This window comes from Homo sapiens, chromosome 7, assembly GCF_000001405.40.
Source record: "Homo sapiens chromosome 7, GRCh38.p14 Primary Assembly".
NCBI lineage: Eukaryota > Metazoa > Chordata > Mammalia > Primates > Hominidae > Homo > Homo sapiens.
This window is the reverse complement of record NC_000007.14, coordinates 128,925,578-128,950,796: the sequence shown is the minus strand read 5'-3', so window position 1 is coordinate 128,950,796 and position 25,219 is coordinate 128,925,578. Positions and strand designations below refer to the sequence as shown.

Genomic DNA, 25,219 nt, shown 5'->3' with positions numbered 1-25,219 from the left:
TTGAGACCAGCCTGGGCAATATATTGAGACCAGGTCTCAAAAAAAAAAAGCCAGGTGTGGTGGTGTGCACCCGTAGTCCCAGCTACGTGGGAGGATCATCTGAGCCCAGGAGTTCAAGGTTGCACCATGGCACTCCAGCCTGGGCAACACAAAGACCCTATCTCTAAAAACAAATGAGAAATACATCAGATAAGCCCAAACTGGGGGACATGCTTTAAAAAATGGCCAGTATTCCTCAAAACCATCAAGACCAACAACAAGAAAAGTCTAAGAAACTGTCATAGACCAGAGGAGTCTAAGGAGATGTGACAAGTGAATGTAATGTGATATCTTGGATAGTATCCTGGAACAGAAAAAGGATATCCGAAAAACTCATGAAATCCAAATAAAGAAGTTGAGTTCATAGTAATTGTCCACATGGTTTCATTATTGTCACAAGTGTGCCATAGTAATGTAAGATGTTAACAATTGGAGAAAGTGTGGGTCCATAGGAACTCTATTAGGAACTTTTCCATAAATCTAAAACCATTCTAAAATTATTTAAAAAAATCTGTACAGGCCACTTAACCATGTGAAAAGCTACTCAGCCTTGCTGATAATGAGAAGTGGCACTGAGATACTATCTCACCTGTCAGGTTGGCAAAAATCCAAACAGTGACAATATATTCTGTGGACGAGGCTGTGGGGCAAGGTATCCTTGAACATTTATGGGGGTTTAATCTATTTTGCGTTGCTGTAAACGAAGACCCGAGGCTGGGTAATTTATACAGAAAAAGGTTTATTTGGCTCACAGTTCTGATGGCTGGGCATCAAGATTGGGCATCTGCACCTGGTAAGGGCCTGGGGCAGCTTCCACTCAATGGCTGAAGGCAGAAAGTGGGCTGGAGTGTGCAGAGATGACACAGATGAAGTGAGAGCGGGTAGGTGCCAGGCTCTTTAACAACCAGCTCTGGGGGGACTAAGAGAACTCACTCACTGTCCCCACCTCGGGGGACAATATAATAAATATATTAAATATATCAGGATGATTTACATGCACTGCCCTGATATATTTAATAGCACAGGAATATACACAAGAGAGTGACAGATTTGAATGGTCCCAAATGCAGCTGCAATGCTAGCCCACCCTTTTATGGGAAAACTGATTCTGACAGTTTTCCAGACTGTGCACACATTTAAAATTCCACACCCTTGCTTCAGCCAGCTTCCTCCTGGAAGGCAAAGCCAGCCAGGTGAGTGTTTATGAAGGCCCAACTGACCCATCAGCCCAGAAGCCAGGCCCTCCCAGTGCCAATGGTCGCAAGCTGGGGGCAAGTGCTTGGGGAGTGGGCCAGTTGGCATCCGAAACAGGGCCTGGTGGAGCAGCATGGGAGCAACTGGTAGTAGTAAAAGGAAAGAAACAGCTGAGTCTGTTTTTAACATTCATTAATCCAAAAATACATAAAAATTATTTCTGCTCCAGGTTCTTGGACTCTCAAGAAGGGGGTAGCTGCCAGCCTTGAGCATCTGATATGATACCTAAGTGCTCACTCATATTATCTCAGAGGACAGGGAGATGAGGAAGTGAGTCTCAAACCAGGGAAATCAGGGCCATGCCCTGCAGAGGCCCTGTGGGGGGACTTGGCCCACAACACTCTGGCTTTTGTTGCCAGAGGAAATGGGGCAATCACAAGAGTGGGCCACCCTTAGGCAATTCCTCCTATACAGCTAGGCCCCAGGGTTGGGAGAGTTCTTTCCCTGCTCATGGCTGAATTTCCCGAGAGCCAGGCTGACCAGACCAGAGACAGCCCAGGAGAGAAAGGCCCGGGAAGGCAGGGGCTCGGGCCTTTCTCCCTCTCCTTCTTGGCCCAAATCCACTTCCAGGAAACCCAGAGGTAGGACCCTGCAGCCAGCCAGGTGCTCATCGGGGCTGTCACATCTCCACATCAGTCCGCACCGCCACCCAGGAAGCCAGGGCCAGTCACCGTCTGCAGCCTTGTTATTGCATGCCAGCTGGGTGCATAGGCCAGGGCCCCTGGCCAACACCAAGGCCTGCTCCAGGAGGGGCCTGGGCCACAGGCTGCAACCGCTGCTGGGACTGCCAGATGTGATGGAGCTCCTTGAATTGCTCCACCATGCGGTCTTTGAGGTCTGGGTTTGAGATCTGTAGCCGGATACTATCAGCTGACCAAGATAGCTCCCCTGAGAACATCTCCAGCAGCAGTCGAGCTGCTACAGGCACCACCTGGGAGGCAAAGAGGAGATGAGACAGGGAGACCTGTGGCAGGGCTGCCAGATCCAGCTGTGCATGAGGACAGCCATCAGGGGTGAGTAATAGACCGCATTCTCCGGCTCTGAGCCTTGATGGTCTCTGGCCGCCAAGTTCACACTGCTCAGGGAGCCCTGAGCCTCCAGCCTGGGGCAAGGGCCTAGCCCCAGGATTCCCCAGTTTTCAAGCCAAGGCCGACTTTGGGATAGGGGAGATGTACCTGTACAGTAATGAGCTTCTTCTCTCGGGGTTTGCGGTCAGGCCATTCTTCCCCAAAGCAGAAGAAGATCTCGAAGGGTGGTGGGGTGTTGGTCTGGCCCTTTTGGAACAGGATGAGCTCTGCATCAAAATCAAGGTCCCTAGTCAGAGGCTGGAACCATGCCCTGGGCAAGAGGCAGCCAGGAGGATCACAGCTTTGGGCCCTCACCATTGAGAAAATGCTCCAGGCTGAAAAGCTTGGTCTTGACCTCCCGCTGGATGGGGTTGGGGCATGAGTCATGGGCTGAGGCACAAGGCCCGCTCCAGAACACCTTGCACTGACACAGGCGGATGGCATAAAGGTCCTGGCCCTGTAGCTGGAGGATGAGCCCGCGGTCCAGGACATCCAGCAGCTGGTTCGTGTAGAAGCGCTGCTTGTCACTGGGGATGTCCTCAGGGCTGGGGAAGCGCACTTGCTCCAGGCTTATGGGGCCGAAGAGTTCCACCTGCTCCTGGGTGGCCTCCAGCTGGCTGTAGAAGAGCCGGCAGCCATGGGGGTTGCTGATGGTGAGGGCCCGGGGTGGCCGCCCCCGGTACTGAAACTTGATCTCCAGGTCGGTCACTGTGGGGCAGAAGGCAGGCCCATCCCGTCCTTGAGCCCCACGCCTCCCCATTCTGCAGCCCAGTGGCCAGGCCCAGCCCCATCCGCCCTCCCACTTTTCCCACCCAAGGGAGTCCAGCACCCTCCACCCTCCTTGCCAATCCTACCCCAATCCCCCAGCACTGCTTCCCCGTGCCCAGCCATGGGTCCTTACGAGGCAGCATGTGGGGGCTGATCAGCAGGTCTGGCAGGAGCTGTTCGCCTGCAGGGGGCAGGCTGGCAGGCAGGGGCCCAGGCTCCAGGACCTCAGAGAGAAGCTCCCTGAAGCCAGCAGGGTTGCCAGGGGGAGGAGCCAGGGGGCTGGGGTCTGGAGCAGGGGGACCCAGCACCACGGGCGGCTGCAGAGTGGGCGGCTGCAGAGTAGGCGGCCGCAGAGTGGGCGGCTGCAGAGTGGGCGGCCACTTGACATCCTCTTTGAGTAAAGAATAGGGTGTCATGTGGGGGCCAGACTGCACTGCATCTACAGAGAGTGCGTGTGGACGGCTGTCAGTGCCACCTCCACGAACTGCCTCCCAGGCACACCTCCTCCCAGCCCTGGGCCACCCTAGCCTCCCATCAGCCCCCTTCCAGGTACCTATGGTACCTATAGCTTCTCTGTATACTAGACCCCCAACCACCACCTCCCGGCCCCACCTGTGAGGCTCAGGCTTGGCAACATCCTCTGCAGCTGAAGGGACACCACCAGCAAGGGAGGGAAGAGATGGGAGAGAAAGGAGGACAGGTTATTCCACTGACCTGGGGCTGGGGAAATAACAGGCGAGAACTATGAGGCAACTCCCCTAGCCTCAGTTTAGCTCAGGCAAGACCCTGCCTCCGGTCCCAGCTCGTCCATCCCAGGCAGGTCAGAAAAGCCCTTTGCCTCACTTTCCTCATTTGCCTTCTGCAGGGAGTCAGACCTACCAAGCCCCAACTGCTGCGTGGGTCACACACACAGGGTAATGACAATGCCCTGGGAAGGAGCAGGTGGGGACTGTGCTCCTATCGTTCAGAATCCCAGGAGAAGAAACAAGGAGAACTATTGAGAGGGCCACGGGGCTCCATGGGAGTGGGGCTGCGGAAACCTAAGGCCGATGGGGACAGCAGAGAGCTCGTCCAGGGCTCCACCTGCCTCCTCAACCCACACTCACCTCTTCCTCTTCTTCCTCCTCCTCTCCTGCACCAAAAGAGTAATCCTCAGGGGGCTGGGAGTCTGCACAGCAGGGAGAGAAAAGCAGGGCAGTAAAGGAGTCAATGTCGGAGGAGAAGCAAGATCCCCTGAGAGGCTGCCTGTAGCTCCTATGCAGCTTCTGCCTTCCCCAAAGCTGCCCCCAACACAGGGCGAGGTGGAGGGCACAGCCACCAGGATTGGGAAAGACCTCCCCGACTCCATGGGCCATGAGACCTAGGCTGGAGCCAGAAGCCAAAACGAGGGCAATGGTAAGGAAGAAGCACCCAGGTCCCTGACTGCACGCCAAGCCATTCCTGATATGCCAGTGACCCATCCCAGCCACTCCTGGAAGCCCTGGGTGTCATGACCTAGCGGGAGCCCCCGCATCGTTTCCTGGACCACTGCCTGCTAGAGGGGCCCTTGGCCTGCCTGCACCCAAGAGCTCATGGCTGGGGGCCAGGACATTGCACAGCCTCCCAGGTGGCCCACAGAGGGCTAGGCCTGATACCTGTGGGAGCAGGGCCATTGGAGCAGACCTCGTAGATCTTGTAGGGCTGAGGTGGCATGTCCCGGGGCCCGTCGTAGATGAGGCGGAAGTCCCGGCTCTTGTTAAGGGCACAGCGCAGGTTGGCCTTCCACTTGGCCGGATCGGCTTCATCCACGCCTTCGGTGTATTTCCCTGTCTCCTTGGCCCAGGCCTGGGGCAGGAAGAAATAGCCGACCACAGAGAACCTCATCCCTGCCACAGCCCCAGTCTGCCTCCTGTCCCATAGGAGACTCTACTGTGTGGGGAGAACTTCGGCTACAGGCTGAGCCTCGCTGAGCCCCAGACCTGGTTTGCAGCGTGGGAGTCTGCCACAGTCCTGCCCCAGCCCTCAGGCTGCCAGCAAGCTACATGAAATCTAGGGGCTATGAGATGCATCCATAGTCCCTGCTCCTGGGAGGGTGAAACAGTGTGATCTCTAAGGAGGACAGCGTGCGGGATAAGGGTGAGCACCCTGGAGCCAGGCTGGGTTTGAATCTGGAAGTGCCCCCCGCCAGCTGTGTGCCAGGCCATGTCACTGCCTCCCTTTGTCTTGATCTCCTCACAGTTGCCCACCTCATGGAGTGGCAGCGAAGACTCAAGGGGTTGATGTTGGCTGGGCACAGTGGCTCGCACCTGTAATCCCAACATTTTGGGAGGCCAAGGTGGGAGGACTGCTTGAGCCCAGGAGTTGGAGTCCAGCCTAGGCAACATAACGAGACTCCTGTCTTTACAAAAAATTAGCTGGGCATAGTGGTGGGTGCCTGTGGTCCCAGCTACTCAGGAGGCTGAGGTGAGAGGATTGCTTGAGCTGGGGAGTTCAAGGCTGCAGTGAGCCATGATTATGCTCTGCACTCCAGCCTGGACGACAGAGTGATACCCTATCTCAAAAAAGATGAGGGGAGTTGATGTCCGTAAAGCACTCAGAGCTAAACCTGCACATAGGACAGGCTCGAGACACTGGAGCTGTTGGTATTATTTTGAATGGCAATTAGGTGAGGTGAGGGTTACCAACATTTCTTTCTACCTTTTAACCCAGCTATTTGATTTCTAGGAATTCATCCTAAATATCATAGAAGCATTCACACAAAATATTGCACACACAAAGTTATTCGCAGCAGTGCTGTGTGTAAAAGATGACCCAAAATACCCAATGCAACATCCATCAATGAGGGGCTGGTGAAATTACGGCCAACCCATTGAATGAAAAATACTGGGCAGCACAAAAAAAGAAAAAGCAGGAAACTGTTTATAAGCTGACATGTAGCAATCGTCAAGAAGTATTAAGTCTAGACAAATATGCAGATATCTAGCATTTCTTATGAAAAGTAGAGGAAAGGATAGTTCCATATTTGCTTACATGTGCATAAAAATCTCTCAGGAAGGCTAAACAAGAAAATGACAACACGGCTGCCTCTAGGGAAAGGCTAGGGAGGGGAGTGGGTGGTGATGAACCAGGGAAGGAGGGAGACTTTTTGCTCTAAACCATTCTATGCCTTTTAATGTTGAATTTTGTGACTGTATTACCTATACAAAATAAATGGATTAGCAAAAGAATTTTGGAAAGGTAAGGATCAAGCCCAAAAACTAAGAAAATATGTACCCAAAGTTTTAAAAAATAAGCATTGCCTTTGACCCAGCAATTTTCAACTCTAGGAAATCAACCCCCAAAATAATTGAGGATGAAAAAAAGGGAAGCATTAAGACAGCCTACATGACAATGTGGTTTTTAAGTTCAGGTTTTAAAAGCAATCTCAAGTATCTAAAAACCAAGACTCAGTGACCAAATTGTGCTAAACCATTCCAGTGGAAATTCTACAGTCACGAAAAGTGATGTGGACGTATGTTGGAAAGGAAAGCTGATCCTGATATTGGGTGAAAAAAATCCAGGCTATAAATCAAGATATTCACTTGATTCCAATTTTGCATTCCATATACACACATGTGCAAAAAAACTAAAATGTAAGCAAAAACTATTATGCGAGGTACATCCTAGCATTAAGATTATTGGAGAGAGCACAGTGGCTTGCGCCTGTGATACCAGCTACTCAGGAGGCTGAGGTGGGAGGATCACTTGAGCCCATGAGCTTGAGACCAGCCTGGGCAACAAAGTGAGACCTCATCTTTACAAATATCAAAATCAAAAAATTAGGCTGGGCACGGTGGCTCACGCCTGTAATCCCAGCACTTTGGGAGGCCAAGGCAGGTGGATCATGAGGTCAGGAGTTCAAGACCAGCCTGGCCAACAGGGTGAAACCCTGTCTTTACCAAAAATACAAAAAAAAAAAAAAAAAAAAAAAAAAAAAAAAAAATTAGCCGGGCATGGTGGCAGGTGCCTGTAATCCTAGCTACTCGGGAGGCTGAGGCAGGAGAATTGCTTGAACCCAGGTGGCAGAGGTTGCAGTGAGCTGAGATTGTGCCATTGCACTCCAGCTAGGGTGAAAAAGCAAGACTCCATCTCAAAAAAAAAAAAAAAAATTAGCTGGGCATGGTGGCATGCACCTGTAGTCACGGCTACTCAGGAAGCTGAGACTGGAGGATCACTTGAGCTGAGTTGGAGGTTGTGCTATGACTGCACCACTGCTCACCAATGGTGCAACACTAGGCAACAGAGCAACAACTCATCTCAAAAAAAAAAAAAAAGAGTATATATGTACAGTTGTAGTACATCAATTAAAAAAAAAGATTGGGCCGGGCATGGTGGCTCACACCTGTAATCCCAGCACTCTGGGAGGCTGAGGTGGGTGGATTGCTTGAGTCCAGGAGTTCAAGACCAGCCTGGGCAACATGGCAAAGTCTCTACTAAAAGTACAAAAAATTAGCCAGTTGTGGTGGCAGGCACCTGTAATCCCAGCTACTCAAGGAGGTTGAGATGGGAGACTCACCTGAGCCTGGGAGGTCGAGGCTGCAGTGAGCTGAGATCAAGCCACTGCACTCCAGCCTGGGTGACAGAGTGAGACCCTGTCTCAAAAAAAAAAAAAAAAAAAAAAAAAAAATTGGAATCTGGTCAACAGTGTGAGGCCCTGTCTCTAAAAAAAATTAGAAAATTTAAACAATTGAAAGATTGATGATGTATCTGAATCTTATATTAAAAATAGTTTGTTCCCAACACAAAGAAATGACAAATGTTTGAGATTATGGATATGCTAAGTACCTGATCTGATCACTGTGCTTATCAAATCACCACTGTGTACCCCATAAATATATACTAATTTAAAAATAAAATTTTTAGAAAGATGATGATCGTTGGCTTCCTTTAGCATATGCGTGCACTGAACAAGTCCTCATGAGTAATAGGAGTGAGACGAGCAAAGGGTGAGTAGGACGAGTTATGGGAAGGCCTTCTGGGGACCCTCAGTCCCCACGATGCTCTAGGGTGCAGGTTAGAAAAGATGTGCCCTAGGCCAGGCGTGGTGGCTCATGCCTGTAATCCCAGCTACTCAGGAGGCTGAGGCAGGAGAATTGCTTGAACCCAGGAGGCAGAGGTTGCAGTGAGCTGAGATCGTGCCACTGCACTCCAGCCTGGGCTACAGAGCGAGACTCTGTCTTAAAAAAAAAAAAAAAGGAAAAAGGTGTACCCTGTGTCTACGTCTGCATCCCCTTAGTCCGGGCCCGGCATCAGCAGCAGCATGGTAGCTGGGCGGGTGGCCAGCCTCGAGGAGCTGCCTGTGTGCGTTATGTGCGCTCCTCTTCTGGGGACAGGGTGCCCTGGAGGTCCAGCCAACCTCCTCCCCGGGGCTTACCTTGAAGATGGTGTTATCTCCGTCCTGGCTGGGACCATGCCTTGTGGCATGCCTCCAGGGGATGCAGAATAATTTCTTTTCCCCGTTGACCCATTGAAGCCCTGGGTACTGGCAGCTGTTCACCTGGGCCACCAGCCAGGGCTTCAGCCGCACGCGGCGGGGTGGGGTGGGAGCCACTGGGATGGACTGGTTCATGGCAGAGGGGTCTGCAGGAGAAAGCCAGAGGGGAGCCTCAGCAGGTCTGCAGGTGGATGGGGACAGGGTACTCAGAGGTCAAGCTATGGACCACAAAGGATGGTCTCTCCAGTCCATCTAGGTATTTAAGGCCAATTCTCTTTTCCAAGCATCAGCTTTCTTGTCTAGTGTCATGGAATTTTGTGTTTGGAGGAAGGGAAGGAGAGTTACGAGTTAGTGAATGCTGCGGGCGCGGCCCCAGGTGCCCTTTACCGGGCAGAGGCATCCATTCTCCAACTGCTAACAGCAGCAAGCAGCCCGTTGGCCAGAGAACCGCCTTCCACTACTCACACCACAGGTTAGGCCCACCCCTTGCTCTTGGGGGGCAGCCCACAGCCAGTGACTGCCTGACACCAAAAGCCCGGCTGTCTTGTCTCAAGCTGGCTACCTGGGACAGCGAGCGCTCTGTGGGATCAGCCCGAAGACAGCCTCCTGCTCAGTCTACACCCCTAGTTCGATTCTTCCCTGCCCAAGTTTTCTCACCCTCCATCCCCTGAGAGTTCCCTCCGGAGATGCCCTCAACAAGAATCTCATCTGGAGCTCCCAAGGACACCTGCCCTCAGAGGAAAGCAGTTTCTCAATATCTTTAGAGAAATCCCATCAACCAACTCAACCCACCTCCAATGACAGCAGGCACCAAACAGATGTTACCTCTCTAGGGCCATTCATCTAGGTTCTTGGTCCTCCCCCTTCTCCTCCCACTGGACACGCATTCGGGTAGCACTTAGGAAGGCCCTAACGCCTGCCGGAGCCTGTTAGGAAGGCTACAGGAAACAGAAGCCACAGCTCTAACTGCTACCTACCCAGGGGCACGAGCCCCGCCTCCCAGGCCACAGCTTCACTGCCTCCCTGGAGTCAGGCCAGAGGGACCCTGCCTCCTCCCCTTCACCTGCCCAACTCCCTCTCCAGCCCAGAACCGGAAACTCTCCACAGTCCTGAGTCCCCTTCTGTCCCTCTCCTCCCCTTACCCATGCCCTTGGCCCTTCACTTGAGACCCCTGGGTGGAAGACAGAAAGGACTGGGTCATTACACAGCACAGCCCATCAGAAGTGAATGTGTCGGTCAGCAAGTAAGGAGCAAACGTTCGAGCTGAACTCCCTGTGTCTGGGCCTGCTTTGGCCTTGCAGCATGGAGCCTCAGTTTCCCCTGAAATTCCCTGCCCAGTACCTTTTGGGGTTGCACCTGCCTAGTGCCGCCTCTGAGCTGCTACTGTCTCACATTGCAGGCCTCCCTCAGAGCCCAGCTCTGCTGCCACCAACCCAGGAGAGGTAAGGCCGGCCCTTGCCTGGCCCAGGGGCTGGGACGGGGAGGTGTTCAGAACGCTCCAGCCCTGCCCTGGCCTCAGAACACGCGGGCTCAGTTCCGCTTTCTGCCCCAGCCTCCACCCGGCCCCAGGGGAAACGAAAGTGGCTAGACCGGGACAACTCAGAAACCAGACTCACTGTGGGCTGAGGGAGGGAGCCGAGTGGGTCCCCCAGACCAAATTTCCAACCTCCCACCCAGAGCTGTTCCCCGCACCCCAAACTTGCAGACAGTTTTTGTGCATTTAGTGTGGTTTATAACATGGGTGTGCACCCACCCATAGTTGTATCTGTAGACCCCTGAGAGGCCTTGGCCCTAGAATAGAGGGGTGCCAGTCACCAGCGGCACACAATTCTGGCCGAGCAAGGGTGGACAGAGGAAGCTCTGTCTGCACAGAATCGGGGAGAGCTTCCCTAATGACCCCCTGGGCTGAGGCCGTGCAGGCGCTGGTGCCGTTGGGGAGCTCAGAGGGTCCGGCTGCCTGCCCCCTACTGTCAGTCCAGCAGTCTGGCCCTGCCCAACACGGCTGTTTAATACAGAGCAAGGTTTTGAAATGATAACTCCGACCTCAGTGTCAGAGGGCCGCGTCCATACAGGCAGCTTAGGGAGGGGTGTGGAGGAGGAGCTCCCGTGACAAGCCCGGCTGTGATGAGCGAGAGTCTGTCCACCATGCCACAGAAGGGACTCAGCCTCAAGGCTTTTGCCTGCAGCTAGGTCCACACGAGCTCTAACCCGAACAGCATCCATCCTCCTAGAAGCTCCCTTCTGCCCAGAAAAGGGCTAGGTCTAATTCAGACCACCCCAATCAAGGCCCATGACTTTGGAAGTTCGGTGTCAGAACAGGTCTGCCTGCCAGGCTCCGGAGTCTCTGGGTGAAATGTATGGAGCCCTAGACCTAAGTCAATGGACCTGAGCCCCGGAAGGTGGGGAAATCCAACAGCCTGAGGAAGTCCCTACAATTGTGTGAGGCAGCGAAGCATCCAGTGGGCAGCCCTAGAGGACCTGCTGAGGTGGGGTAAGCCCACAGCTCACCCCAGGGCCATGCTGGAGTCCCAGGAGACAGTGCCCCCACCACCACCCAGGAGCTGCAATTCATGGGCACCAGGGACCCACTAGGGGAGGAAGTGCCACAGCAGTCCTAGTAAGAGTGGCCAGACAGCAGGCGCCCTGCTGCTCCCAGGGTTGGTCTGGGTCACATGTCTCCTTGCAAACCCACACCCAGCTCAGGGAGAGGACAAGGGGTTCCCTGTACAGGCCCTGACCCCCAAATCCCACCCCTCCGGGTCAGCTGCCCACACCCTGGGCCCTGCTGCCCACCTGGTCCAGACAGGCTGAGGCTCTGGGGCAAAAGGTGCCCAGAAAGAAGCTTCTTTCAGCTTCCTCCCAGGGTCAGGGTAGGGGAAGACCAGGGTACAGGGGAAAAACCCCAAAGTAGGGCCTTTAGATAAAAAGGGGTGATTTCCCAGTGCTTCCCTTGACTCTTGGAACCCCTCAGCCCCAGCACCCCAGGCCCCATAACTACTGGGGGTGGGGGCAGGAAGGGGAGGTCTTGCCAGAGGGCCTCCTGAGGGGCTACAGTTTCCTACATCGATACAGCCGAGCCCTCTCTGGTTCTGGTCACTTATCCCCATTCTGGGCCCTCGAGGAGCCCAGGCCCAGCCCAGTCCTCCGCCCCTGCTCCCCCCTCCCCTCCGCCCCCACCCCTCCCGCGTGCTCCGCTGGGGCACACCCCCTGGGCCAGCCCGCGGAGCCACCCCCACCTCCAGAGTCGGCCTCTGGACCTCTCCTCCTGCTGCTGGAGGAGCAGCACCCCGGTCCTCGCCCTGCTGTGTTCAGCGTGGCCGCGAGGCTGGGAAAGTCCCCCACTCCAGCCTCTGCTCCCAGGTACCCGCTCCCGCCCCTCCCGGGGTCCGGAGACAACCATCTCCCCACGCATCCCGGCCATGCTAGCCTCACTTTTCCTCCACGTTTAGCCTCTTCATTGTTGCCTTCTTAAGTTCTGGGACAGGACCTGAGGAAACCAGCCCAGGAACTATTGCGCCCCATCCTTTTCCGCTGCTCGGGGGACGAGAGTCTGCCATTCCCGGCCGCGAGCCCAGGGACGCAGCCTCTACCTGACACCATCTTCCCCCAAACTCTTGCACAGTTCCTGCCATTGGCCTGAAGATCCCGGGGGATGAACGCTTTAACCTCAACCTCTTTTCCGAAAGGGTGAGGGTGGCCCGGTAAGAGCAAGGGCGAGTGCATCGAAAGTAAGGATCGGGCCTCGCTCCTCTGTGGTCCAAGCCAGCCTCCAGCGGGGCTCCCGGGAACCCCCATTCTGGGCGATGGCGAGGGGGAGGGAGAGCAGCAGAGCCGGCGCCCCCCGCAGCGCTGCCCACTCCGCCGCCTGGGTCACTGGGCTCCCCGGGCGCCAGCACCCCAAACCGATCGGGGCGTGGGAGGCGCTTTGGAAGTCCCAGGCCGGCCGGGCGCACCCTGCTGTAGGCACCCACCCGAGCTCGCTTTCCAGGCGCAGCTGGACGCGGACCCCGCCCTACTCCAGTCTTCATCCCGCCGCCCGCAGGTGCCTGGGGGGCGCGGGGCCCAGTCTAGGCCTAGACTTGGGGGCAGTAGCCGGCACCGCTCCCGCCACCCTCGGGGCGCGCCGGGCGCGGACGCAGAGAGGAGAGCGCGGCGGCCGGGACCCACCTGTCTGCGGTGCGCCTGCGTGGCTGCGCCAGGGAGCACCGGCCGGGCGGCGGGACCAAGCTGAGCTCTGCCCAGGCTGCGCCTCCCGCCGGTCCGCCAACCTGCCGGGCACTTCCGCGTCTTGCCGCCCCCGCCCCTGGGCAGCTGCTGCTGAGCTCCGGGCGCGGGCAGTGCCCCGCCCCGCCCCGCGAATCCACTCCGGGCCCCGCACTGACCTGGCAACTGCAGATCCGGGCTGAGCCTCGGGCCAGGCCCAGGGCCTCCAGGGAGATGCCAGACGGCGCGGTGCCCTAGACTGGCCACTGGCTCTTTTGGCAATCTGGAATGGCAAAACTGTCATTTGACAACCCCGTACCTCCCGCTGCAGTGCTCAGTTGGGCCCTGGGAGAGGGTGGGGTGCTTCCCCACTCTGGTCCTCCGGGGCTGCACACAAATGAGGGCGCAGTGTGGCCGACCCACAGCTCCAGGCCCTCCTCTCGCCTGCCTACACCCCTGGCGAGGGTGGCTCTCGCCCTAGAACACAGTCGCTGCCCCCAGGATCCAGACACCCCTTCCAGATGTGCTTGCAGGCGGGAATCCTCTAGTCACTCTGTGCCTTTCTCATCCTCAAACCCTGCACCTGTCTCGCCCCAGCTCCCCTAAGTCGCCTTCCAGTCATCCCAGGGGCAGCGGCGTGGTCGCCTGTCCCACCTCCTCTCACTACTACCTTGACCGTCGACCTGTGGTTCTGAACCGTTTTCGATTCCATAAAGAACCTCACCCCAGAACCTCCACCTTCACACACCTCCTGTTCCTTCTCATGGAATGTTCTTCGCTTGGTAACTCTTGCTCTTCAAAATTTCTGTTTCTGAAATTTTCAGCATCGCCTTCTCTGGAAAGTCTGCCTTGACTTCCCCTCCCAGGTGGGGTTCCAGGGTGCAAATAGCTTCCTGGTTGATTTTGCTTATGATTTTGTTATGGATTGCCAGGGGTTTGGTCCAGGTCTGGCTGCTCACCGCACAGAAAGCCTATCACTGAGACAGCGAGTATTGCCAGGGAAGACTTTATTCCGGTGACATCAGCCAGTGAGCTGTTGAGAGGGGAGACAAACCTCCAATCCATCCCTCCCCTTGACTAAAGTTAGGGGCTTATATAGCAGGGAAGGAAAACAGGAGGGACAAGGAAGAGGAATTGGTCAACAGGCAGCAGGTGTACTGATGTAAGTGTCTCAAGCTTCAGTTCTATGAGCATCTGGCTTTTTGGAAAATTCAGCGGGTTTCAATTTTGATGTCTGATTTCCACTCGAATCAGCTTACTCAGGAACCTCCCTCCTGTCTTTTCATTGTTCATTTTATTTTATTTTATTTTTTGATATGGAGTCTTGCTCTGTCACCCGGGCTGGAGTGCAGCAGTGCGATCTCAGCTCACTGCAACCTCTGCCTCCCCAGTTCAAGCGATTCTCCTGCCTCAGCCTCCCAAGTAGAGACGGGGTTTCACCATGTTGGCCAGGCTGGTCTCGAGCTCCTGACCTCAGGCGATCCACCCGCCTTGGCCTCCCAAAGTGCTGGGATTACAGGCGGGAGCCACTGCGCCAAGCAGAGCCTTGTATTTTTAACAAATAAAGTAGTATTTGTTGATGAATCAGAACTTTGACCTTCCCTCCCCTCCCTTCTCCTGGGTTGAACTTTACCTTTAACAAGTTAAAAAAAGACACTCATGTGTTAACGTTTTTTTTTTTTCTCTTCTGTATCTCTCCCTCTTTCCTGACCTTTGAAGCCCTAATATGAAGTCGAAATATCATTATATATAAGTATTTTATTATTTGTATCTGCTGAGTATTTCATTATTTCATATTTTTAAAATTTAAAGTATGGATGGGGAAAATGTGAATGGGTAGATCGTTTTATATTTCTTTCTTTAAAAATGAAATTGCTAGGCCAGGCACGGTGGCTCACATTTGTAATCCCAACACTTTGAGAGGCTAAGGCAGGCAGATCACTTGAGTCCAAGAGTTCGAGACCAGCCTGGGCAATATGGCAAAACCTTGTCTCTACAAAAAATACAAAAATTAGCCTGGCGTGGTGACACACACCTATAGTTCCACCTACTTGGGAGGCTGAGGTGGGAGAATTGCTTGAACCCAGGAGGCACACCACCGCACTCCAGCCTGGGCGTAGAAGTGAGATCTTATCTCAAAATAATAATAATAAAATGAAATTGCTATTTCAAAAGTGGCTCCCCACAAAATGGGAACCTTTTTCACTGGAGGTCAGTTATGCTTAATAGAAAAATATTCTATGCTGGTCGTATCTGGAGCAATAGCTAAGAAGAGCCTTCTTTTGTTATCAAATACTCCTCACCCATTCTGAGGGACCGTGAGACCCTAGAATTCTGCCCTCTGCCCCCTTCCCACTGTCCATCTTGCTCAGGTGAGGCCCCTTCCTTAGAGCCTCTGAACCTCAAGAAGCAGCACGGGCTGCGTGCAGAGAAGGGGCTTGCACCTGGCTTTGCTGTATTCCAGCCAAGTGGCCTTAAGTAGGACCTCAAATCTCATTTCCTCGTCTCTAAAAGGGGGATGATGTTACCAAGCCGGCAGCATTGATATGGGGCTCCCGGGATAGAGGCTATGCAGGGGCTCAGCTTGGCTCAGATCCTGACTTCCCTCAACTGAAAGAACCTGAGCCAAGAATCATCTGGGGCCAGAGACATGGCCCAGGAGAAAGGAAGGACAGAGAGCAGCACTCCAGTGTTTCCAGGATCTGGGATCCCTTGGCCTCCCAGTGCCATCCTGGGGGTGGAAGGGCAAGTAGAGGGGAAGTGAAGCCACACCCGGCCCTTGTGTGAGCACTCCCATTTCCCCTTGATGGGCCAGGAGGCGGTGGGGACAGGGAGGTCTGTCCGGGCCCCCCACTCCCCACAGTGAGATGGCCCCTTCCCCCATTTCCCCTGGCTGGAATATCACAGACTGAGGGTGTGGTAGGAGGCACCCTCCCCTGACTCGAGTAGAAGCTACGCTGTGTGAGCGAGTGTAGAGTGGGGTGGCTGGGGTGGGGAGCAGGGGGGAGGAGGGAAGCCGTGTCACCAAAGGGAACTGAAAGAAACCCAGAGGCCCACTGGGCAGCTGAACAATGCACCCTGGCTCTGGAACAGCCCCCTTCAGTGCAGCCTGGGTTGATGACAACTGCCTTTGCCTCTCAAAACCTCTACCCCAGGAAACCCACCCCCTCGGCCTGGGCTCTCAGGGGTCCCCAGGCTGACTGTCCTATTTCTCAGAAACCCCGAGTTTCTGAGAACTTGTTGGCTGGACATCAGGCTCTGAGGTCAACAGGTCTGAGTCAAATCCTCACTCTGCAATCTAGAATTGCGTGACCTAAGCAAGCCATTCACTCCCCCAGAAGCCCCATTTCCCATCTGTAAAGGAGAATGGTGACACCAGTGTCACGAATTGGCTGTGAGTCTACATTCAACAATGCTTATCGGGCATGTTGTACCTGCCAGGATAAAGTGGTGGACAATTTCTACTTTGTCTAAAAACCCCTGCCCTCCTGGAGCTTCCATTCTGCAGAGTAAGATAGACGATAAATCCTCAAGTAATGAAATCGGGTGAGGCCTTGAGGGGCACCTCACAGGCTATGGCTTTGCTAGGGACAGTCACTGAAAGGTTCAGATCTGAGGCATGACATAGTCTGATTTAGATTTTAACACCTCTTGGCCGGGTGGGGTGGCTCACGCCTGTAATCCCAGCACTTTGGGAGGCTGAGGCAGGTGGATGACCTGAGGTCAGGAGATCGAGACCAGCCTGGCCAACATGGGGAAACCCCGTCTCTACTAAAAAAAAAAAAATACAAAAGTTAGCCAGGCGTGGTGGTTCATACTTGTAATCCCAGCTACTCGGGAAGCTGAGGCAGGAAAATTGCTTGAACCCAGAAGGCGGAGGTTGTAGTGAGCCGAGATTGCACCATTGCACTCCAGCCTGGGTGACAGAGCGATACTCCGTCTCAAAAGAAAAAAGAAAAAACAAAAAAACACCTCTGGTTCTCGTACTTGAAGTGTTCACTTGCTTTGAAGTTTCTGGCACATAGAAGTAGTATCTTTTTTTTTAGGATTAATGCCCAGGGCGCCACAGCTGGGCCTTCCTCCCCATTTCTTACTAACACCGGCTCAGAGCTTTTTGGGGTGTGACCTGGAAGTCCCCCATTCAGCCAGCACTGTTACATGGACACCTCTACACTCGGAGTCTCCACCTTTCCCAATCCATGGCTCTGTCTTCACATGGCCTGTGGAGGAAGCTGCCCGGGCCCTTGCTCCAGGCCCCGACAGGTCACCTGTCCTCTCTGATGCCTGCAACCTGGCTCCTGCCCTTGTCGGTGGAATCTGTTCTGGCCCCACCCTGTCCTCCAGGCCTTGGATCCACAGCTCAAGCAAGCCCTGAAACCCACGGGAACTCCCCCAAAACTCCAGTCTCTACCTACCTCTCTCACTTAAACCCTCAGATCTTGGGATTTCACTCTTTCCTAGATTTCTCACCATCCCCTTTAAATAAACGTGCTGAAGCCCTCTCACTTTCCTCCGGGATTCCTCTCCCAGCTCAGCATCCTGAGTCTGCGCCTCTGTGCCCCTGTCCCCCGCGGGCCTCCAGGACACCGGCCCAGAGTTTCTCTCCTCCCCTACTGGCTGCACGTGGTCTGATTCAGTGCTTCTAAAACTTGCTTAGCTCAGCACTGTGCTCAAACCACTTCCTTCCCTGCTCCTGGGCTCTGTTACGGAAGGGGTGGGACATCCATCCTTCCTGCATGTCTCGAGGGCTCGCTGTGGAGCATGAGGCACCTGGACAAGGAGGAAAGGGAAAAGGACAAAGTCTAGCTGGAGACCCCAGCCTTCTAGGGCCACTGCTTTGTGGGGACAGATGCCAATCCAGCCCCACAGGCACCAGCCAAAGACCTCCGGTATGCACTTTTGTCCCAGAATGAGCCTTGTTGAAGCTCAGCATCTGCAGATGTCCCAGCCAGGCCCACGAGGTCCACCCGTCTTTGATGTGGGGTAAAGGGGGCCACCAGCCTCAGACTCTGAAGCATTTCTGAACCAGATCCATCTCAAGCCTCTGCAGCTTAGAACCAAGGCTAGGGCTGCTCCTGGGCAGGATGGTGGTCCCTCCCAGGTGGGCTCAGATGGGAAACGGGGAGAGACTAGATTCTCTCCAGGATGGCAGGGCCAGCCCAAGGGCATGGGGTGCTCTCCTCAGAGTGGTGGGGAGGTGACAGAGCTACCCTCTGTGGGGGACCCCTCCAGGGCTGACCCCAATACTCTCTGGCCTGCAGTCGCTGATGTATTAGGTCATGGGAGGGGTGTGGGGTATGACGTTCCTCTCGTGTGGCCTCTCGACACTCAACCATGAGGAGGCATATCCCGGCTGTCCCTCTCTGGCCCCTGACGGGTAGGGTGTGGGGGTGCGTTGCAAGTTGAGAATTTCAGGTGTGAGGCAGGAAGGAGAGGGAGCACTTGGGGGCTGGCAGCTGCACAGAGTTGCAGGGCCTGGTGTTTGGCTCTTGCCAGCTGCTCACCCCTGGGCCAACACTATGACCCTATGGGTCAGGCCTTGGGGGCTCTTGGTGGGGCACCCTCCAGGAGTCTGTCCTGTTCCCGTAGCCTCTGATTCTGGGAGCAGAAATTCAAGGAAGCGGAGAGCCTAGGGGCTGAAGAACCCTGGCGGGGACCATGGGCCAGGGCTCCCTCTCCTGTCTTGAGCCCTCTCAGGGAAGAAGAGGGTGTCAGGCCTCATTAGAGAGGGTTCTGGGGGCAGGTTCTTACTAGGCCAGTGTCCCGGAGCCTTGGTGCTTTGCAATTCTCCAAGCCAGGAGCCAACTGAACTCTGACGCCCATCCAGACCCCTGTGCCGGACAGACTGGGCCCCTGAGTGTGCCGGTGGACCTGTGGATTCAGGAACATCTCCACCGACCCATGCCTGTCTCGAGGGTCGGGTCTCCTCTGTGTCTCCCGGCCTGTCCTCCTCCTTTCTCTCCTGGAGCAGCACCTCCAAAGCCATGGGGATACTGACATACCCTGATAACCTGTCCAGGGCCGTTGCTAGGGAGTAGGGGTGCAGGAGAAGTTAGGAAGAAGAAAGGGCAGCCTGCTCAGGCAAGAAAGAGCTTATGGTGCCTCTTCACTGGCTCGAAGGAGGCTCTGCTTTGCAGTAGCAGACCATAGGACAGCCCAAGAGGACTGCACCAGGGGACAGTCAGCCAAGCTCAGGAGGTTGGGGCAGTTTACCCAAAGGCACACAGCAGCTAGTGACATGAGGCACTGGCACTTGAACCAGACTAAACCATCAGCGACATTTTATCCTTTGGGAACCAGACAGACCTGGGTTCAGGTCCTAGCTGGATGAGCTCGGCAAGTTGTTCAACCTCTCCAAGTCTGGGTGTCCTCGTTGTAAAATGGAACTAACGATACACCGTCGGCAACAAAGAACTGTTGCGGGGCAACTGTTCTGTTGCGGGGATCAGGCCCGGCCCAGTGCCTGACACACACTGTGGAAGTGATTATACTCAACATAGCAGTAGCTGCTCCGTAGAACATGCCCAGTGCTCTGGCGGTTCTGGGCGGCTGCCTCACCATGACCAGCCGTCCTGCCTGATTCCCTGGGGCAGGCAGAGCCAGGGAGCCATGTGGGTTCCCACTCTCCCCCAGCCCAGAGATCCATAGACCCACCCCCAGCTGCCCCGGACACGCCCTCCTTTTTTCCCGCTCCCTCCCCTGGGCCTGGGGAAGGATGGAAAGCAGCTGGCTGCTGGCGGCCTCCTTCCTCACCCCGGCCCTGGCATGTTGTCTATGTAGAGAAGGAGGCCCATGTGCCAGAAGAATGATCATGGACCCCCAAAGAGCCTGCCTGCCACCCCCTACCCCGGCTGCCTTACTACAGGAACAGGCCCAAGAGAAATCAAGAAACAGGGAACAAATTAGGGGATCGGATGTGGGGAAGGGCTGACCACTAAGGGACGGCATGAAGTGATGGGAACGGTTCTGTCTCTTGACTGTGCCAGTGTTTACACAACTCTCCACCTTTGCCGAAACTCCTAGAACCGTACACTAAAAAGAGTGAATTTTACTGTATGTAAATGTAAAAATTTAAAAATGTTTCATGATTCAGAAGATTCAAACTCTCAACGTCAAGAAGTTTTGGCTGGGCACAGTGGCTCATGCAGGTAATCCCAGCACTTTGGGAGGCTGAGGCAGGTGGATCACCCGAGGTCAGGAGTTTAAGACGAGCCTGGTCAACATGGTGAAACCCGTCTCTACTAAAAACACAAAAAATTACTCGGGCATGGTGTTGCGTGCCTGTAGTCCACCCTACTTGGAAGGCTGAGGCAGGAGAATCACTTAAACCTGTATAAAAAAAAAAAAAGGGAGTTTTTTAGGAAAAGCTTAACTAATTTATATGGTTTGTATTTTCCTTTGTACCTAAGCAAAAGACTTATATATGTTAACTGTTTTAAAGAAGTCTTTCAAGTGTGTCTAAAATAAAGATTTTAAGTAATTTTCTTTTTTTCTTTTCTTTTCCTTTTTCTTTTTTTCTTTTTTCTTTTTTTTTTTTTTGAGACAGAGTCTTGCTCGTGTCACCCAGGCTGGAGTGCAGTGGCACAATCTCAGCTCACTGCAGCCTCCGCTTCCCAGGTTCAAGCAATTCTCCTGCCTCAGCCTCCCGAGTAGCTGGGACTACAGGCACCCACCACCATGCCTGGCTAAAGTTTGTATTTATAGTAGAGACGGGGTTTCACCATGTTGGCCAGGATGGCCTTGATCTCCTGACCTCATGATCCTCCTGCTTCGGCCTCCCAAAGTGCTGGGATTACAGGCATGAGCCACTGTACCCGGCCCTAAGTAATGTTTTTTTAAATAGAAAAGAAAGAAAAAGAACAGATCCAAGAAGCATCCTTCACCAAGAGGCAAGGTAGTGCCGTCTTCTCTCCACTCTCCCTCCCTCCCTCCAGCCTGGCTCTTCTGGGCCATCCTCCAATTGTCCTGCCAGTCCCTCTTCTGCTTCCCCCACAGCTCTTGGGAGACTGAGCACTGTCTCCAGGGGTTTGGTGATGTCCAGGAGGCTCCCTGGCTACCCCAGGGACCCAGGCCGAGAGCCCACGCTCCAACTAGGTGGCTCCAGGTGAGGATCCTGGCAGGACACAGGTGATATTGGACAGAGGAGAGTTGAGTGAAGTGGACACTTGCAAAGGTGTAGACAGGGTTCTGAAAGCCACTGTGGAGTTTCCAGGCATCCAAGGCCTAGCATCAGCTGGGAACCACCTCCACCCTCAGAGGGGCCGTCCTTTGGGACCTGTGGCCCTGGGAACGTTGCAGGCAGAGGGAAGAAATCCCTTTTCTTCCATTCTGTCGCCCTCCTGTCTCTTGCCCATACCTCCTGGTGGGAGGGGCAGAGCTGGCCCGGGGACCGTGCGTGTTCTGAGTGCCCCGGGAGGCAGGCTGGTGGCAGCTAATGGGGGGAGGGAGTGCTTTCCCCCTGGCCCCTGGCAGGGCTGGGAAGGGCCTGACGCTGAGCTGGGCACCTGCACACCTGTGCGTGTGCATTCTCTGACCTGCATACCCCAGTGCAAGTCCTGGTCTGTATGTTAATCACCCCTCTTGCTCCAGGTATATCTCCCAGGAGACTCAGGGGTTTGGTGGAGGCCACGTGGGCCCACCAGCCTCGACTGTCCAAGGGTGCAGAGGCGGAGAAGGAGTGAGGCCCAGATCTCATGGGGGAAGACCTTGCAAGGGGCTCTGAGCCTTTGGGATCCAGGAGCCAGCACTGGGATTGGGGGTGAGGGCCAGGGTGGGAGGTCAGAGGCCTAGGGCAGGTCCTCTCCTCTGCGGTCTCCCACATGGATCCTCAGACACTGTACCCCCACCTCTACCTTGGACCAGCGCTTGGCAGGCAGCACCCTGCACTACTGTGTGGTGGATGCCAGGAAGCTGAGCATCACTGGGATGAGGGGCAGGGGCCTGGGGTGAAGATGAAAGGGCAGAGCTTCCCTCCCAATATGCACCCCACCCCCAACCAAGGGCTGAACCCTGGCCCCTCAAGCCCTCAGTCAGGCCCCTGTGGAAGTCTAAGTGAGTGGCAGGGCACCCTGTCCTACTGGGTGGACTCTGGTGTGTAGGTGATCCTGTGTCTTCACCTTGTCCCATGGCACACCTGCACCCTGGTCTCTGGTCTATTTCCAAAGATTTCCAGATGTGCAGAGAGTGGGTTCCAATAGGGACCCAGTACTTTCTCAGCAGGGCTTCAGCTGACCAGAGAAGGCAGAGCATTTCACCAGCCTCCACTCCCGATGCCTCCCCACATCAGATGCCCCTGCTCTGCCCTTCATCCCCTGTCTGCCTGCTAGCCAGTCCCAGCTCAGGCCTTGACACATTTTAGGATGTGCAAGGGAAGGGTGGGGCAGCTGCCATTCTCACTGAGCCCTGCCCCACAGTCTTATTGGCCCCTGGTGCAGAGAGGAGTGTGGACAGTTCAGGGGCTCACGATGGGAGGCATTCAAGGCATGGGACAGAGGTGGCAGAGGCAGTTGCCAGGGCAGCCAGACAGCAGTGGTGCCCAGACCCTAGGACACACCCTTTAATCCTCACCCCAGACCCCTGTCCTAGGGCCGGGACATCTATTCTGACTCATAAATCTGAGGTGATTCCCAGGGCCGTGCAGCCCAAAAACATGCCCATCAAAGCTACAGCCGCTGTATTGCTCACTGGGGCCACCTATGGCCATCTCAAGGCCCCAGTTCTCCTCCTTGGGGCTTCCTTGTCCAAGGCCATGCATCGCTCTTCAGGCAACTTTCCCGCTGTGGCCTCCGCCCAGGACCTTTGCTGTGGACAGCTTACCTGGATGGGACAGGAAGATAGTGTAGTACACTGCCCACAGGTAAGCCCTAGACCAAATATGATGAAAATCACTAAAAAATGTAGTTAAAAAAATCATTAAAGGAATTAAAATGTCCCACTAGAAATATTCACTTAATGTAAAAAAAAGCACTGAAGGAGAAATAGAGGAACAAAAAAGACATCACATGTTTAGAAAATGGCAGATGGAAATTCAACTATGTATATCGATAATGTGAATGGATTAAACCAGGGGTCCCCAACCCCTGCACCATGGACTGGTAGTCGTCTCTGGCCTCTTAGGAACCAGGCCTCACAACAGGAGGTGAGCAGCAGGCAACCACCTCCTGTCAGATTGTGGTGGCATTAGATTCTCATAGGAGGCCAGGTGCAGTGGTTCACACCTGTAATCCCAGCACTTTGGGAGGCCAAGGCGGACAGATCGCCTGAGGTCAGGAGTTGGGACCAGCCTAGCCAACATGGCACAACGCCATCTCTACTAAAAATATAAAAATTAGCTGGGCCTGATGGTGGGTGCCTGTAGTCCCAGCTACTCGGGAGGCTGAGGCAGGAGAATTGCTTGAACCCAGGAGGCAGAGTTTGCAATGAGCCAAGATCTTGCCTCTGCACACCAGCCTGGGTGACAAAGTGAGACTCTGTCTCAAAAAAAAAAAAAAAAGATTCTCATTTTCTCATAGGAGCTGGAACCCTATTGTGAACTGCACATGAGAGGGATCTAGGTTGCACACTGCTATGAGAATCTAATGCCTGATTATCTGAGGTGGAACAGTTTCATCCCGAAACCATACCCCCCCACCACCCACCACCACCACCCTCCACTGTGGAAAAATTGTCTTCCATGAAACCAGTCCCTGGTGCCAAAAAGGTTGGGCACCACTGGATTAAACAATCCAACCAAAAGGCAGAGATAGTCAGACCCAATTTAAAAATAAGATCTGTCCAGTTGCGGTGGCTTATGCCTATAATCCCAATACTTTGGGAGTCCAAGGCAGGAGGATTGCTTGAGGCCAGGAGTTTCAGCCTGGGTAACAAAAAGAGACCCCGACACTACAAAAAATAAAATGAAATAAAAATTAGCCTGGCATGGTGGCACACACCTGTAAGTCCTAGCTACTCAGGAGGCGGTAGTGGGAGGATCGCTTGAGCCCAGGAGTTCAAGGTTACGGCTAACGTGATGAACCACAGCACTCCAGCCTGGACAACAAAGAAAGACATCTTATCTCCAAAAAATAACAATAAAATAAAAATAAATTAATTTAAAAACACACAAAATAAAAACAAGATCCAACAATATGCTGTTTACAGGAGGCACACTTTAGATTTAAAGATGTAAATAGATTTAATAAGAGGGTAGAAAAAAATGGATATCTACCATCGTGGTGGCACACACCTGTAATCCCAGCTACTCAGGAGGCTGAGGCACAAGAATTGCTTGAACCCAGGAGGCTGAGATCACGCCACTGCACTCCAGCCTGGGTGGCAGAGTGAGACTGTCTCAAAAAAAAAAAAAAAAAAAAAAAAAAGCTAAAACCAAATATGCATCCAAAACTCAAGCTGAAAAGTAATATTTCCCCTCCACTTTGAACAGCCCTTGAATGACCTGCAATTGATCAATAGATTTTGGAGCGAGAGAGCCAGCACACTGATCAGGAGCACTAACAAGGAAGTAATAGATCCCTGGAGGGTGAAGAGTGAAGCCCCAAAACTGGTCTCCAAGGAGTTAGATACCAAGAGTCAGGAGGACGTGCTGTGGTAGGAAGCCATGCATTAAGATTTTGCCCATTCTTTTGAAGTGATAACCAAGCGTAAAATTTTTGCAAAACTTTAGGAAAGTAAATGGAGGTATTATCAGAGTCATATGGCATCTGTTGTCCTAATGTTGTATCATACTATTTCATATTAATTTAAATTTATTGTATCATGTTTCATCATGTCACCAATTGTAATTATGCAAATATTATGTACCACTAAGAAAAAAAACTGCCAAATAAACCAATACAATATTTTTATCTGTGTTTTAACTTTTCTATTTAAATGGCCTTTTGAATTTATTTAGACAAACATGTTAATTATATATAATTCTTGTGAATAAACAAGGGGAAATGTAAGAGAAATAAAAAATTAAAATTATTAAAAATTATATATATATATATATATATGATGATGAAGGGGCTCAGAAGTTTATTAGTCAAACTTCCAGGCAGATGAGTAGAGCAGAGACAGAAACTCTACCCTAAACTAGTAGTTCACAGTGACTATGCTGATGCCCAGAGGTTTGTCCTGATCAGTTCTGAAATGTCTTGCAACGAATTTCTTACAGCAATAAACCACCAAAGTTTTTGAATGATTTACTTTTTAAAATACAGAATGTTGATTTATCGTTATCCACTTTAATTAAAAATGTTAATTACTCTGGTTTGTTTGATTTCCAATGTATTTCATATATATATATTATTTCCTACATATATATATAGCAAACAGCAACCATAAGAAAACTGGTGGGGCTGTATTACTGTCAGACAGAGTAGATTTAAAATTTTTTTAATTACTGAAGATAAAGAGGGACATTTTACAATGATAAAAGTGTAATCCATCAGGAAGA

The 25,219-nt window shown here is 53.2% G+C and overlaps 1 protein-coding gene across 16 annotated transcripts, besides 12 other annotated features; it reads right to left on the bottom strand.

Annotated features, from left to right (window-relative positions):
* On the bottom strand, positions 759-13,765 carry IRF5 (interferon regulatory factor 5). Of its 16 annotated transcripts, none has more exons than XM_047420337.1 (10): positions 12,748-12,870; positions 8,521-8,726; positions 4,763-4,952; positions 4,235-4,296; positions 3,741-3,774; positions 3,500-3,567; positions 3,262-3,469; positions 2,676-3,068; positions 2,469-2,587; positions 759-2,224 (listed from the first exon to the last, which is right to left on the bottom strand). In XM_047420337.1, the coding sequence occupies exons 2-10, from the start codon at positions 8,713-8,715 to the stop codon at positions 1,979-1,981; spliced, it is 1,515 nt and encodes a 504-aa protein (XP_047276293.1). In that variant the 5' UTR covers positions 8,716-8,726; positions 12,748-12,870; the 3' UTR covers positions 759-1,978. The 16 variants fall into 16 exon arrangements, with proteins under 16 accessions (XP_047276293.1, XP_047276296.1, XP_047276292.1 ...); XM_047420340.1 differs by having other exon boundaries at positions 3,500-3,519; XM_047420336.1 differs by lacking the exon at positions 12,748-12,870 and adding exons at positions 9,373-9,518; positions 9,922-10,127 and having other exon boundaries at positions 3,262-3,567.
* Positions 10,014-10,063: an enhancer, noted in NCBI's record as "active region_26613". NCBI's record gives its function as "activates an Ori minimal core promoter by ATAC-STARR-seq in GM12878 lymphoblastoid cells {active_cell/tissue: GM12878}" and the evidence as "EXISTENCE:reporter gene assay evidence [ECO:0000049][PMID:35858748]".
* Positions 10,174-10,403: an enhancer, noted in NCBI's record as "active region_26612". NCBI's record gives its function as "activates an Ori minimal core promoter by ATAC-STARR-seq in GM12878 lymphoblastoid cells {active_cell/tissue: GM12878}" and the evidence as "EXISTENCE:reporter gene assay evidence [ECO:0000049][PMID:35858748]".
* Positions 11,894-11,963: an enhancer, noted in NCBI's record as "active region_26611". NCBI's record gives its function as "activates an Ori minimal core promoter by ATAC-STARR-seq in GM12878 lymphoblastoid cells {active_cell/tissue: GM12878}" and the evidence as "EXISTENCE:reporter gene assay evidence [ECO:0000049][PMID:35858748]".
* Positions 11,997-12,580: an enhancer, noted in NCBI's record as "H3K4me1 hESC enhancer chr7:128578271-128578854 (GRCh37/hg19 assembly coordinates)". NCBI's record gives its function as "activates a minimal SCP1, AML or CMV promoter by ChIP-STARR-seq in naive H9 embryonic stem cells {active_cell/tissue: H9 hESC(naive)}" and the evidence as "EXISTENCE:reporter gene assay evidence [ECO:0000049][PMID:30033119]".
* Positions 11,997-13,003: a biological region, named in NCBI's record as "H3K4me1 hESC enhancer GRCh37_chr7:128578271-128578854".
* Positions 12,244-13,003: a silencer, noted in NCBI's record as "silent region_18621". NCBI's record gives its function as "represses an Ori minimal core promoter by ATAC-STARR-seq in GM12878 lymphoblastoid cells {active_cell/tissue: GM12878}" and the evidence as "EXISTENCE:reporter gene assay evidence [ECO:0000049][PMID:35858748]".
* Positions 14,248-14,542: an enhancer, noted in NCBI's record as "tiled region #2205; HepG2 Activating DNase matched - State 4:PromP". NCBI's record gives its function as "activates a minimal TATA promoter and a strong SV40 promoter by Sharpr-MPRA in HepG2 cells {active_cell/tissue: HepG2}" and the evidence as "EXISTENCE:reporter gene assay evidence [ECO:0000049][PMID:27701403]".
* Positions 15,738-15,827: a silencer, noted in NCBI's record as "silent region_18620". NCBI's record gives its function as "represses an Ori minimal core promoter by ATAC-STARR-seq in GM12878 lymphoblastoid cells {active_cell/tissue: GM12878}" and the evidence as "EXISTENCE:reporter gene assay evidence [ECO:0000049][PMID:35858748]".
* Positions 15,958-16,077: an enhancer, noted in NCBI's record as "active region_26610". NCBI's record gives its function as "activates an Ori minimal core promoter by ATAC-STARR-seq in GM12878 lymphoblastoid cells {active_cell/tissue: GM12878}" and the evidence as "EXISTENCE:reporter gene assay evidence [ECO:0000049][PMID:35858748]".
* Positions 16,348-16,397: an enhancer, noted in NCBI's record as "active region_26609". NCBI's record gives its function as "activates an Ori minimal core promoter by ATAC-STARR-seq in GM12878 lymphoblastoid cells {active_cell/tissue: GM12878}" and the evidence as "EXISTENCE:reporter gene assay evidence [ECO:0000049][PMID:35858748]".
* Positions 16,979-17,148: an enhancer, noted in NCBI's record as "active region_26608". NCBI's record gives its function as "activates an Ori minimal core promoter by ATAC-STARR-seq in GM12878 lymphoblastoid cells {active_cell/tissue: GM12878}" and the evidence as "EXISTENCE:reporter gene assay evidence [ECO:0000049][PMID:35858748]".
* Positions 21,044-21,544: an enhancer, noted in NCBI's record as "H3K4me1 hESC enhancer chr7:128569307-128569807 (GRCh37/hg19 assembly coordinates)". NCBI's record gives its function as "activates a minimal SCP1, AML or CMV promoter by ChIP-STARR-seq in primed H9 embryonic stem cells {active_cell/tissue: H9 hESC(primed)}" and the evidence as "EXISTENCE:reporter gene assay evidence [ECO:0000049][PMID:30033119]".